At 45.9% G+C, this 14,145-nt stretch overlaps 1 protein-coding gene across 2 annotated transcripts in view, besides 1 other annotated feature; it reads left to right on the forward strand.

The window, feature by feature from the left end:
• RIN3 (Ras and Rab interactor 3) overlaps positions 1-14,145 on the forward strand; it is a 175,214-nt gene that overhangs the window by 104,544 nt on the left and 56,525 nt on the right. The window lies entirely within an intron of this gene.
• Positions 6,033-7,232: an enhancer, noted in NCBI's record as "MED14-independent group 3 enhancer chr14:93090702-93091901 (GRCh37/hg19 assembly coordinates)". NCBI's record gives its function as "activates an origin of replication core promoter dependent on BRD2, BRD4, P300/CBP and CDK7 cofactors, and independent of MED14, by STARR-seq in HCT116 cells {active_cell/tissue: HCT116}" and the evidence as "EXISTENCE:reporter gene assay evidence [ECO:0000049][PMID:35650434]".

Consider the following 14,145-nt stretch of genomic DNA (forward strand, 5'->3'; position numbering starts at 1 on the left):
TGTTCACATCAAGGATGCCATCGTCTTCTGGGGAGAAACACCCCTGGTTAGCCTTACCCCAAGGGTTCCAATGGGTATACAGTTCCAAGAGTATGGAGGGACCCTTCACAGTTTTGAGATTATGAACCCAAAGTTCCAGGTCCCGAAGTTTTGTTGCAATGTGGATGGCAAGGACAGTCTTTCTCTGATGTTCTCAGAAGATCTAAACTATAAAAGCTTTTTTACCTGGTGAAAATACACTATAGCATAATAATCTACTGTTATAACATCAGCCCTCTTGCATGGGAAAGCTTTTATACAACCAGAACACATGCACTGAAAATACCAATTGAATGAAATCCCTTTGTAAAATGTTTAAGTGGCCTCCAGGTGACCAATTGTACCTGAAGCTTTAATTGTTTTCCCAGGAATATGGGATCAAACATTGGTTATAAACAATTTCAGTAATTTGTAAGCCACTACATCAATGTATTCAATTTGGATCATTTTATTTTTTCCATGTTGAGTCATGGAATGCAGAACTCTTAATAATAAAAGCTTTAAGGACTCAGGAAGGACAAGGTGGCCATCCTGGTTCTCCATGAGGCCATGCTTAATTAACATTAGACTTATATTATCTTGGATACTAGTTGTTTTTCCAAATTAGGTACATAGCACTGAGAAGAAAATTTGTTTTTTGTGTGTGGTTTATAATCACTTAGCATAATAATCATAATTATAATTGATAGCATATACTTAGACATTAACATTTTAGAAATCCCATACAATTTTGTAACACATATTAGTATTATTCACAAAAATATAACCTAAGGAAGATCGAACATCATTTTGGCAATCTCATGTACCTAAACATGTCAAATAATCCTGTTTACCTCCTTTCTGGATGTTTTCAGGGGCCCTCTGATCCATCCAAAAAATCAGGCATCAGGAAAGACAATTTTGAAACTGAAGTTTGATTTTGGAATTCCAGAGTACCATAAATTATTTATTTTGCCAAAATGACTCAGAAATTTTAAAGAAGTAGAAACCTTTTATAACCTTTTACAAAAAAAAACACACACACATTCTACTGTTCTTATATACCTTGCATGTAAAACTGTTTCTAGTAGTCTTTTTTTTTTTTTTTTTTTTTTGGGATGGAGTCTCACTCTGTTGCCCAGGCTGGAGTGCAGTGGCGCAATCTCAGCTCACTGCAATCTCTGCCTCCCAGGTTCACACCATTCTCCTGCCTCAGCCTCCCGAGCAGCTGGGACTACAAGCGCCTGGCTAATTTTTTGTATTTTTAGTAGAGACGGGGTTTCATCATGTTAGCCAGGATGGTCTCAATCTCCTGACCTCGTGATCTGCCCACCTCGGCCTGCCAAAGTGCTGGATTACAGGCCTGAGCCACCACGCCCGGCCTCTAGTAGTCTTAACTGCATGTTATAATGGCGAATTTTAAAGTAAAACCTGGTAAGTTATGTTCTGATAAAGTTTGACTGTTTCCAGCATAGCTAGAAGCGTGGCCAACTCCGCATGTCCCCAGGCCTTACCTAGCTGGAAAGCAGGCAAGTTAAACAATTTTCGAAAGGCAAAGAAGCAACTTATGACCTTCAAGCATTTAGCAAGCCCAATATTTGAACATAATTTGGACCACATGTTTACATTTTGAAGACATTTGTGTTTTACCAATAAAACTGTCTTTATTTCCCAAAGATTACTCAAGTCACATGAACTAAATAAAAGGCATTACATTTTTCACTTTTCCGACAAAATATTTGACTTAAGCTTTTATTATTATTAAACCAATTAATGTAAAACTTTACAGAGGAGACAAACAGTGACTTTTCCTTTATATTTAACCAGTTTGCACAGAGAGAAAGAAGCCAGAGACTGACTAGTAAGAAACTCTTACCCTTTTGCTGGCATGCCAGGTTTCTGGGTTCTCTCTCTGAGTGGCCCTAGCGACCCTGCCTGACCATATGCAAACAAACACATTGCCATGAATTAAGAATATTCACAAACAGTTTACAAATTGTGGAGACGTTAGGCAGAGAGAGAGAAATATGACTCAAATTCTATTTACAAGAGTATACGCAGAACACTTAAATTATCAGGAAGCCTAAAATCCAAAAAGTTTGTTTAAAGGTAGAAAGTTGGTGTGCTCCATTAATTCCTCTGGGCCCGACAAAGGTAGCTTTGGAATTCCAGATAAATGGAATGAATGATGATTTGCTAGAAATACATGGGAAACAAAATAACTATTCACAGAACCAAATGAAAGCCTTCCACTAGGAACTAAAAAAAATCATAGTTTTATACATATGGATACACAAGCAAAGCCAGAGGAGAATAAACAGCAAGTGAATGAAAACTAGAAGTCAAAAACAAATAAACAGGAAACCAACCCTAAGTTTTCCTACTCAATTTACCCTGGAGGCTACAGTGTTACCTAGGGCCCCCAAAAACCCACATAATGAATATTTTAATCCTGACACGTAATTCAGTATCCTTAAGTTCGCCAATATTTTCATACAGCCTGTGCAATTAAGAAATTGACTTTAGGCACATGGCCAATAAGTACTCCAGCACTATCCATGCAAAAGAGTAAACATAGTGTGAAGCAATGCAAGCATGTATGTGAGATTTGGCTTTGCACTAAATCCAGCTTCATGCTTAACTATATTTAAAAAAGAATTGCTGGGCCGGGCACGGTTGCTCATGCCTGTAATCCCAGCACTTTGGGAGACCAAGGCAGGTGGATCACCAGGTCAGGAGATGGAGACCATCCTGGTTAACATGGTGAAACCCCGTCCCAGCTACTCAGGAGGCTGAGGCAGGAGAATGGCGTGAACCCGGAAGGCGGAGCTTGCAGTGAGCCAAGATTACGCCACTGCACTCCAGCCTGGGTGACAGAGCGAGACTCCGTCTCAAAAAAAAAAAAAAAAAAAAGAATTACCAAACTTCTGATGCATTTTTTTACAATACTTCTTGTTTTACTGTCGATGAAGAGTCAAACTCTGTAAAATATTTTAAGAGATTTATTCTGAACCAAATATGAGTGACCATGGCCCATGACCCAGCCCTCAGGAGGTCCTGAGAACATGTGCCCAAGGTGGTTGGGGTGCAGCTTGGTTTTATAGATTTTAGGGAGGCATGAGACATCAGTCAAATACAATTAAGGAATACATGAATACATTGGTTTGTTTCAGAAAGGTGGGACAACTTGAAAACTGTTGGGGGTGGGGAGCAGTGTTCCAGGCTATAGGTAAATTTAAACATTTTATGGTTGACAATTGATTGAGTTTTTGTCTAAGGACCTGGGATCAATAGAAAGGAAATGTTCATAAAAGATTGTGAAAAACCAAGGTTCTTTTGAAGTCTCATAGTGGCTGCCCTTAGAAACAATCGAAAACAAATGTTTCCTATTGAGACCCTTTAAAAGGTGCTAGACTTTCTGCCAGTTTTGGTAGACAACATATAACAGTAAGTGTACATACAAATAAACACATCTAGACGTGTATACACACACATAAATGAAAATCCAGTAGCTCGGAACCTTAGCCATGAGATAGCAATACAAGCTTACTGGTTTTACTTTACCCCAATAGATAAGCCAATGAAGGCTATGAACCAAAATTTCGGGTAAAGCAGTTTGGTTGTTAAAGGCCAGACCTCCCCAGACTCCAAAGAGTGCTGGAGCCAAACAGTACCAAAGGAGGGCATCACACATTAACCAGGCTCCTTGCTCAGAACAGCAGCACAAGTGGGATCCATGCAACACCATCCCACTTTCCCAGTAGACAGTAAACTCCAGATTCTAAACAATATGGGGGCCAAGCAGCCATTGCAACTGCAAGAGAAAATTCTAAGGAGGGCTTAGTACTAGACCTCATAACCTCTGCCAAGAGCATCCACTTTGGGGAGGTTGAGGTCTACAGGATCCCCCAGAGCATCCTCCTGTGGGCTCCAATCTTAGAGTGTCAGATGTCTCTGACCTTAGGTGGGCACTGGCACCACTTTGCATGTGTTCCCTCCAGAGCCTGCTATGAGCTTTCCTTTGGTACCTGGGTGTAATCCCTGACTTTTAGCATCCTTATAATTTGATAAGGCCATGCCTTCCCATCCTTCCTGTTCTGTTAGAAACAAATTTTCAGTGCCACAAAGTGAACCCAGCACTCAGGCAAAAGTTTTCTCAGCAAGGCAATTTACTTCTGTAGAAGGGCGCTTCCTGCATGCAAGGCAGAGGCAAGGGGGAGCATGCAAAACAAAGGAGAACAGGATTTTCTTATCCCTAACGCAGACCCTGTTCCTGTGTCTTCCCCCTGTGGGCTGGGGTCAGACCGCACAATCTAGGCTAATTCCGATTGTCTACAGTTGACATCATCAAAGGAGGCAAGGGTGGGCCTTTGACAGGAAGCACAGGTATAGTACATTTTGGGGTGTTTGGGCACAGCAGAGAGAGGGAGGGCTGATAGATGAATGGGTATGATTACCTTTTAGAATAGAACAAAGAACCAGGCACAGAAACTCTTTGAAGAGGAACTATTTGTGGTCAACAACAATTTCCTCCTCTTGAATTTATACATGTTCTGCTTTAAACCTATCTAATATGATTCGGATTTCGTGTTCGTTCACGGGGAAGAATTTGTTACTATAGGATTGGGAAGAACTAGGGAAGGTTTTGTTACTAGCTGTCTCTATAAGTCTTTGGACTAGTCCACGAATGCAGGGCATGATGCAGCATCCAACAAGAATAAGCACAGCTATTGCGATTGCGAGAGAGGTAACAATAGAGGCCATGAGTCCTTTCCATTTACCAAACCATTGCCCTAACCATCCTGTGAAAGGGTCAGTTATCCCAGAATTTGTGGCTAATTCATCTGATAAGGAGGTAAGACCTTGTAAAGCTTTTGTAATTGTTCCATCAGGAGCTGTATTGTTGGGAATGTAGGTGCAGCATTGGGTTCCTATCATAACACAAACTCCACCTTTTTCTGCTAATATCATATCTAAGGCCATTCTGTTTTCCCAAGCCATTTGGCTAGTAGGCCCTAATTGTTCAGCTATTCCTTGGATAGCATCCCTAGTGTAATTAATAAATCGCTGCTGGTTATAATAGATGTAATTTATCCAAGCTACATTTTTATTAATAGCTACCATTGGAAATAATGATTCAAATCCTGCAGCTACTGGGTCTCGGGCTTTGAATCTATCAGGTACCCCCTGTGGGACTCCAATTTCATCTACATAGACATGAGAGTCGAAAGATCCTTGAGGGGCCTCTCTTGTTTTACGGCGTTGTGGTTTCTTTTTTTCTGGTTGTTGAAATGCCAGGGTGAAAGGGATGGCCAATTGAATTAGAGCACAAGTACCACTCCAGTTACTTGGCAGAGTGTCTAGCAGGTGACCACCACAATACCACCATACATCAGCTCGGGCATGAACAAGTGCAGACTGATTGGTAAGCTCTTGGAAAGACTTAAGCTCACTGCATCCCTTTAGGTCCCCAAGAAACTCCAAATTTTTTCCCTGTCGTGAGAGACAGGAAGTAAACTTGGCATCTGGAGATGGAGGCTGGATGGCCCTCGGGGGCTCACCCTCAAGGTGTTGAGTTTCAGGGAATAGCACAGAGAGAGTTCGACAGAATTCACTATCCCAGGCTGTAGGGTGTTGGAAAAGAGCCACCATGCAGCCCATGCCCGGTTGGTCAGAAGACCATCCAAGTGGAAAGGGGACGACTTGGGCCTCTGGCCTACCTTGCGCACAAGCGTAACAGTCGCTTTTGTTTAGACTGCGAACGGAATATTCAATCCATTCCATCCAGGCATTTGTTTCTTTGTATCCTGTTTCAATTGTCAGTGTTTGTTTTAAATTTTTAACCTCTACAATAGCTACTTTGCTTTTGTCATTAGATGAAGAGACAATGGTCTGGTTAGCAGGTGTAGAAGAGGATAGACGTGGAGATATGAGGGATGGAGATGTACTGAGGTGCAACTCGAAGAATCCTATGGGGTCTTTCCCTCTTACATCTGCTCCCATACCATAGAAACGGTTTAGGGTGGGGGAGGAATCTTGGAGAGTTGGGATGGTGATGGAAATTTGCACCGGGTTACATTGGTTATATCGACAATTGGGAGGGGCAATTCCTTTAGTAAAATGGATATAGGGCTTTAGAACCGCTAGCGGGAAATCCTGTGAGGGGACCCAATCTTGACGTTGAGTGGTCCAAACGACATATTCCCAAGTATGACAAAACGGAAAGCTAAACAAGGTAGAAGCATCTGCTTCGGAGGGGCAGAGATATTTCTCTGCTGCTGCAAGCTGTCTCTGGCTTTGGAGATCCCCACAAGGTATAACTAAACAAGCATCGAAGGTAATGGTCTGGGGTGAGTCTGATCTAGTTACGTTAATAATGAGGTGGCTAGCAAGAGCACAAGGAAAGAAGAAGGAGTAACAGAATAGATGAAAGAGAATTAAACTTTCCTTAGCTTTAGTTTGGTAGGATTTTCCCCTGGGACTATGGCCCATGACGCTGGAGGGGGCGGTGCTTTCTTGACTCGGGTGTGATGGGTCCATCCTTTCTCGGCAGTTCAGACTGCAGTTTCAGTTGTTAGGAGCACTAGATATGGTCCCTCCCAGGACGGTTCAAGTTTCTCTTCTTTCCAGCTCTTATTGAGGCCGTAGTCTCCGGGCCGGTGCTGATGGACTGGAAACTCAAGAGGCAGCGTTTGCGCTAAGAGACCTTTAGTCCTAAGGGAAGATAAGGTAGAAGACAGACCAAGTATATAATTCCTAAGGAACTGATCTTTGGTCTCAAAAGTGGGACTGTCACTAGTGGAACTTAAGTATGGTAACCTATAGAGCATTTCATAAGGGGATAGGCCAACATCTGTTTGAGGGGCAGTTCGGATCCTGAGTAGAGCGATGGGGAGACACTTAGTCCAGGGTAATGGACTTTCTGAAATTAACTTAGATGATTTTTTAAAGTCTGATTCATCCTTTCTATTCTTCCTGATGAGGATGGATGCCAGGGGTCATGATACTCCCATTTGATTCCTAAAGTTTGAGTAAGCCCTTTAATGATATTTGCGGTAAAGTGATTCCTGTTGTCTGAGTCAGTGTTTTCTACTGGCCCGAACTGAGGTATTATCTTCTCTAGTAATACTTTAACCACATTATTAGCTGTTGCGGGGAGGGGAATGGCTTCAACTCAATGGGTGAGGTGGTCTACTATTATGCCATGAGCAGGACAGTTTCTTTTTCCTTCCCCAACTCAGGGCATTCTCTTTTGAAGTGGCCTGCTCTTCCATATTTGAAGCACCTATCCTGTCCTCCCACTCTCTCATTTCCAGGATTATTTGACCTTGCTCCCCCATACTCTTTAGAGGGCCTGGTAGCTGAGGGTCTGGGTCCGCTAGTTGGAGGCTTGGGTTTGGACCCTTTATAATTCCTGGTCCCCTGGAGTCTCTGTTTAGAAGCATATGGCTTGAAGCCGTCTGTTGGAAGGTGGATAGCATAAGTTTCATTTTTTGTTTTTGCTTTTCTTAATCTCTCCTCACATATACTTTTTGGGCTTCTCCTAGGGGTTCCTCTCTGGACCGGTTTTTTGTTTTTCTAGTTTCTGCAACTTCTTTGCTATATCTGGCCAGCTATTTGTGACAAAATGTAGCTTTAATATTCCTTGCCCAAGAGGGTCTTCTGGATCCAAATCTGCATATTTCCTTATTTGTTCCCTTAGTCTTTCTAGAAATTTCATGGGCCCTTCATCTTTTTCCTGTTGTATGTCAAATGTTCGGGAAAGATTCTGAGCATGGGGCACTGACTCCCGAATTCCTTTAATTATCATTTCCCTAAGATCTTTCATATTTTCCCAGCAGACTGCATTGTTATTATCCCATTGAGGATCTTGGGCTGGGAATTTCTGGTCTGCTGCAGGAACATTTTGGCCAGGAGAATGTTCACATTCCCAAATTGTCATAGCAGCCCTGTGAATCATCCCCCTTTCTTCCCCTGAGAAGAGGATACCCAGGATGGACATTAATTCGACCCAGGTATATAACTGGGGGCCTAGGAATTGATCTGCTACCCCATATGGGTCATCTAGCAGTGGCTTAAGTTCTTTCTTTAAACCTTGAACCTCTGAACTAGTCAAGGGAGCATTTACAAAGCCAGTAGCTCCTCCTGCCTGGGACACCTCTCTCAAAGGGAAGAGAGTTGGAGCTGATTCCTTAGAGGCAGAGGGGAAAGGAAGATTTTGAATATCCTTCTTACATGGTAGTCCCTTTAGGGAAGGATACTTAGGCTGACAAGGAACAGACTCATGGGGTGGTGGTAATTCCCAAGAGTCAGAGTATAAGGGGGAGGAATAATAGGAGTAGCAGAAGGATCTGGGACCGAGTCCAGGGTAGCAGCAGCTGCCTGTGGAGGGGACAGGTCAAGTTGGGGGGAATTAAATGGGGAAAGGTGGTTTAGAGGGTTCCAGGAGTTGGGATCCCTCTGCCTAGGGGTTGGTTTTACTACGCCTTCCCCTGTATTCTTTAGGGGAAAGAGGAGAACAGGTTGTTTTCTCCAGAAGAGGGCATAGTCTCTTCCCGCAAGACCAGACTTTTGTCATTCACATACTGAGTTAAAAGTTAACAGACCCAATCCTCATCTGATCCATATTTTGGCAAGAAGATGGCAGGTTTGCGGATGGGTTCCTTGGCCCAAATGAAACAACAATATTTTATCATCTGTTGCTTTTTCTTGTGCCTATTCCTCTCATTCTCCTTCTAATATTTCAGCATGAGACCTAGAGGACTATCAGAGGGGATCTGACTATCCCCGTCCTTACCTTTCCCTGTTGTACTAGGAGTGTTTCCCATCTTGGAAGTTTTGGATGCCCCCTTGACTGTGTGTGTGGCCCAATCTCTCTTACTAGAGTTCTCTTGCCTTCCCTTTTCTCTAGAGGCTCAACCCCCATTAATGGAGGTTTCTTGCACTCCTTTCCATTCACTTCATCCTATCTGGCCACTTCCTTCACAGGAAATTAGGTCCCTCTTAGCATTGGCATGCAGGTATAAGCCCCATGGCAGGATCTGCCCTAAGCCATATGAAGATGAGGTGACCACAGAACCACAGAACCACAGACAGGACCCACTCACCCCGGACAGCAGTAATGCCTATCACCATTCACACAAGCAGCACCGCAAGCAGTGGTGCCTATGATCATTCACACACACTTTCAACCTCCAGGATATCCCGACCACCAATGAAATACTTCACCGCCCCCACAGCTTTTCTTACTTTGGTCTTGTGCGCAAAGTTACCTGGTCGCCACGGTATTTGTAGGCAAGTCTTTCCTTCCAACGTTGCCGAGAGTCCAGGTTTATTCGTCACAGTGGGTGGGGTCCCAATCTCTAGCCCTTGAGGCCACGTCAGCAAGGCAGTGGGTCACGTCTCCCCCTGGGAGATGACCAGAGACCCCTTCCCCAGAGGAGAATGGGAATCCTGGGCAAGGCCCCAGATTGTTAGAAACAAATTGTCAGTGCTGTGAAGTGAAACCCAGCATTCAGGCAAAAGTTTTCTCAGCAAGGCAATTTACTTCTATAGAAGGGCGCTTCCTGCATGCAAAGCAGAGGCAAGGGAGAGCTTGCAAAACAAAGGAGACCAGGAGTTTTTATCCCTGAAGCAGACCCTGTTCCTGTGTCCTCCCCCTGTGGGCTGGGGTCGGACCACACAATCTAGGCTAATTCCGATTGGCTACTGTTGACATCATCAAAGGAGGCGAGGGTGGGCGTTTGACAGGGAGAACAGGTACAGTATATCTTGGGTGTGTTTAGGCACAGTGGAGATAGGGAGGGCTAATAGATGAATGGGTAAGATTACCTTTTAGAATAGAACAAAGAACCAGGAACCAAAACCCTTTGAAGAGGAACTATTTGTTCTTAACAACGGCAGCACAAGTGGGATCCATGCAATGCCATCCCACTTTCCCAGTAGAGAGTAAACTCCAGATTCTAAACAATTTGGGGGTCAAGCAGCATTGCAACTGCAAGAGAAAATTCTAAGGAGGGCTTAGTACTAGACCTCATAACCTCTGCCAAGAGCATCCCCTTTGGGGAGGTTGAGGTCTGCAGGATCCCCCAGAGCATCCTCCTGTGGGCTCCAATCTTAGAGTGTCAGATGTCTCTGACCTTAGGTGGGCACTGGCGCCACTTTCCATGTGTTCCCTCCAGAGCCTGCTATGAGCTTTCCTTTGGTACCTGGGTGTAATCCCTGACTTTTAGCATCCTTGTAATTTGATAAGGCCACGCTTTCCCATGCTTCCTGTTCCGTGAACTTTAATGATAGGAACTGGAGGCTGGGTGGGTTTCTTTTGCCCTTAGCCAGTTGAATAGGAGAAGGGAAGAATTTAGCATAAGAAAAGAAGGTTTAAGTCCTGAAACATGCGAGTTTGCTCTGAGCTGTGCCACATGTAGGGATCAGGGACCACACTCAGAAAATATTTTTTTTAAAAAAAAGAATCCCTTCCCATTCTGGACAGGGCAATTATTCCCATTCATTCCTAGGCCTTCAGGCAACACTGGGGAGTGACCCCAGCCAATTATCCTCAACTTCCAAGGAGCTACTGGGAAACAGCCACTGAAAGACAGAAAAAGAAAGAGAGAGAAAAAAAAATGAAAAAGACCCTGGTCCCTTAAGTGAACCAGGCAGTGGCATTTAGGCTTCTCCACATGGAAACGCCTTAGTTTCACTGGCCACGGCCAGAAACCTGCAGTTGCTTTCGTATTTAGGCGCTGCCCACCAAGGGTCCTGAGTCGGAAAGGAAAAGAGAGAGAGAGAGAGAGAGAGAGAGAGAGAGAGAGATTGATTGATTGATTGATTGATTCCCCTGTATGGAGCAGAAAGGAAAAAGAGAAAGGAGAAAAAGGAATCCCAAACTTTGGACTTACCTCTTCCTCCCCGCTGGCTCGCCAAAATATGTCACCAGTGGAGGGTGTCCAGGTTCTTGGCATCTTGAACAAAGAATTAGACAAAACGCACGAGCAAAACAAGGAAGGAATGAAGGGGTTTACTGAAAATGAAAGTACACTCCACAGTGTGGGAGCAGGCCCAAGCATAGGGCCTCAAGGGCACCGTTACAGAATCTGGGGGAGTTTAAATACCCTCTAGAGGATTCCATTGGTTACTTGGGGTACACCCTATGTAAATGAAGAGTATGAAGTAAAGATACAAAGTCATTTACTTGGCCTGCGCCCTATGGAGAGGATATTTCCTGTCATAGCTGAAGTGCGAACTGGCCTTACGTTCCCTGCCTCCAGACCCTATTTTCCTGCCCCAGTAATAGTTGATGCTAACAGCTGCTGCCTCTTAAGGACACACCAGGTACCTGGCACTGTGCTAAGGGCTTTTATAGCCATTCTCTTTTTAAATTTTGCGAACAATTTCAGGAGGTAAATGCTCTTGTTATCCCCATTCTACAGATGAGGAAACGGAGACTGAGAGAAGTCACTTGCCCAGCTGATAAATGGCAGGGCAGGGTTTCAAACCAGACGCATCTCCAAAGTCCACACTGTCTGCTCCAGAGGCCTCACTGTGTGCATCCTGCAGTAATTCTGATGCCTGTAGGCCCACAAGGCAAAACATCAGAGGCCTCCTGGCCCTTGGTATGTTATGACACGTTAGGCTCTCAGAGAGGCAGGTTCCAAGCTCCTAACCATAGTGGAAGAAGCCTAACAGTGTTTGGCACATGTTAGGTGCTGTGAATGAACAAATGATGGCATAGTTGCAAAGCCCAGAACTTGAGCTTGTTATTTAATCTCTCTGAGCCTCAACTTCCTCTTCTGTTAAATGGGAATGATAATATCGTTATATTGGTGCTGAAGGAGGGAATAAGAAACACATGTAAAGAGACAGCACCGACCCAGCGCAGTGGCTCACACCTGTAATCCCAGCACTTTAGGAGGCCGAGGCGGGTGGATCACTTGACGTCAGGAGTTCTCAAGACCAGCCTGGGCAACTTGGTAAAACCGCACTCTACTAAAAATGGAAAAATTAGCCGGGTGTCGTGGCACATGCCTGTAATCCCAGCTACTCAGGAGGCTGAGGCAGGAGAACGGCTTGAACCCAGGAGGCAGAGGTTGCAGTGAATTGAGACTGTGCCACTGCACTCCAGCCTGAGCAACAAAGCAGGACCCTGTCTAAAAAAGAAACAGCACCCTGCCCCCACACCCAGTCAGTGCCCTTGTTCTACTTCCATGAATTGGGCCATAGGGGTTTGCTGGAGCAGCGACTTCCTCTATGTCCAGGGAGCTCTGGAGCCATGGTCACCAAGCTCACTGCTGTCACTGTTCAACCTTTCCTCCATGTTCCAGAAAAGCAGGTGCCCCTGGGCCTACCCTCAAACTCCCAGGGTACCCTTAAGGAGGCCACAGGGCACAGAGCCTGGCATCACTGTATTTTGAGGGATGTCAGCTCCCAGGCCTGAGTTTGTGAGTAGCTCAGAAGTGAGATGCTGTGGGAGGGATAGTCCCAGGCTGGGAGTTGGAGACCCATCACTTAGAAGCTTGTGACCCTGGGCAAGTCACCTGACCTCTCCTGGCCCCCAGTTGCCTCCCCCATCAAGGGGATGTTAGCCAAGATGGAACATCAAAGATCTAGAGCTCTGTGGTTGTGCAATTCTAAGATCCTGCCCTACAGACTCCTCCAGAGCCTAAGTCCTGGAGGCAGCAGGTGATGTCCCAGAGGCATATCATGTGCCTTGTGTCACCTCCAGGACATGGCACAGAGGGGTGTTACAGTGGATGCTTGTCAGCCCTGGCGTTTAGTTAGACATGTGTCCCCAGCACCATGCTGAACCACAGGCCTGGTCCTGAGCAAGCCTACCCAGGCCCCTTCCCCTTCCCAGAGCCTCTTGTCAGTGAGCACTTGGGGCCCGGGGGGCTGGGCTGGGAGCCTGTTCCTGGAGCTTATTCCCCATGACAGCATGGCAGCCCCCAGAGGGCCAAGCTGCACAGTGAAGATTCCCCAGAGCAGGACGCCCCCATCCCTCTCAATCCAGCACTCAGGAAGCACATTCTGTGCTCTGTCTGCAGCCTCTGCCCCCAGAAATAAAAAAAAGACAGGTTCTGCTTCAAGATGCTCACTCCAAACTAATGCAAAGCCTAGGTGGACTGGCGTAAGGGCTCTAGAGAGGGTTTCCAGACCTGGCTGGGTCCCACAGTCACCGAATAGCTGGTTAAAACTACAGACTCCTCCCAGGAGATCCTGACTCAGTGGGTCTGGGGTGGGACACAGGAATCTGCATTTTTTTTTGGCGGCGGCGGGAGTGGGGGTTGGAGTCTCACTCTGTCACCAGGCTGGAGTGCAGTGGTGTGATCTGGGCTCACTGCATCCTCCACCTCCCGAGTTCAAGCGATTCTCCCGCCTCAGCCTCCCGAGTAGCTGAGACTACAGGCACACACCACTACCCCCAGCTAATTTTTTTTGTATTTTTAGTAGAGTCAGGGTTTCACCATGTTGGTCAGGCTGGTCTTGAACTCCTGACCTCAAATGTTCTGCCCACCTCAGCCTCCCAAAGTAGGAATCTGCGTTTATAATAAGCCTGTCTCAGACCGGGGTTTGAGAACTTCTTCCAGGTGAATGATACCAGTTGCTTACCTGGGGGTCTCCTAGGGGCAGACTTTGGGACAAGATTCATATACAAGGGGTGATTCAGGACTTGCCCTCGAGGAGAAAGCAGGAGGGAGTAGGGAAGCAGGACTGGGAGTGGGAGAAGCCCAGTGAGGGTGCGACTGCAGGGTGACCCCAACCTCAGTCTGGTCCTGTCGGCAGCTCTGGAGCATAAAGTAAACCTGGGGCCACTCCTAGGCATGTGTGAGGCTCCAGCACCAGGACAATCCCTGATGGTCCCAAGGGCCAGCACTTAAGGCAAACCCCACTGAGGCTAGGGGACGGGTGTGTAGAGCTGGTAAAGCCATCAGGGTGGGTGGGGTGTCAGCAGTGATTTCGTGACTGGCTCCTGCTGATGGGGCATCTGTGTGGAGTGAGCCTTTGGGCTGCGACTGCCCACAGAGCTCCCTCTAACCGCTACAGCAATAACAGCTTTAGGGAAGGTATTACCGCTTCAGTGATGCCAGCCCCCAGGGCTGTGCTGAGGATCAGACTCCCTGATCCTTGGAA

Source organism: Homo sapiens, chromosome 14 (assembly GCF_000001405.40).
Source record: "Homo sapiens chromosome 14, GRCh38.p14 Primary Assembly".
In the NCBI taxonomy this organism is placed as follows: Eukaryota; Metazoa; Chordata; class Mammalia; order Primates; family Hominidae; genus Homo; species Homo sapiens.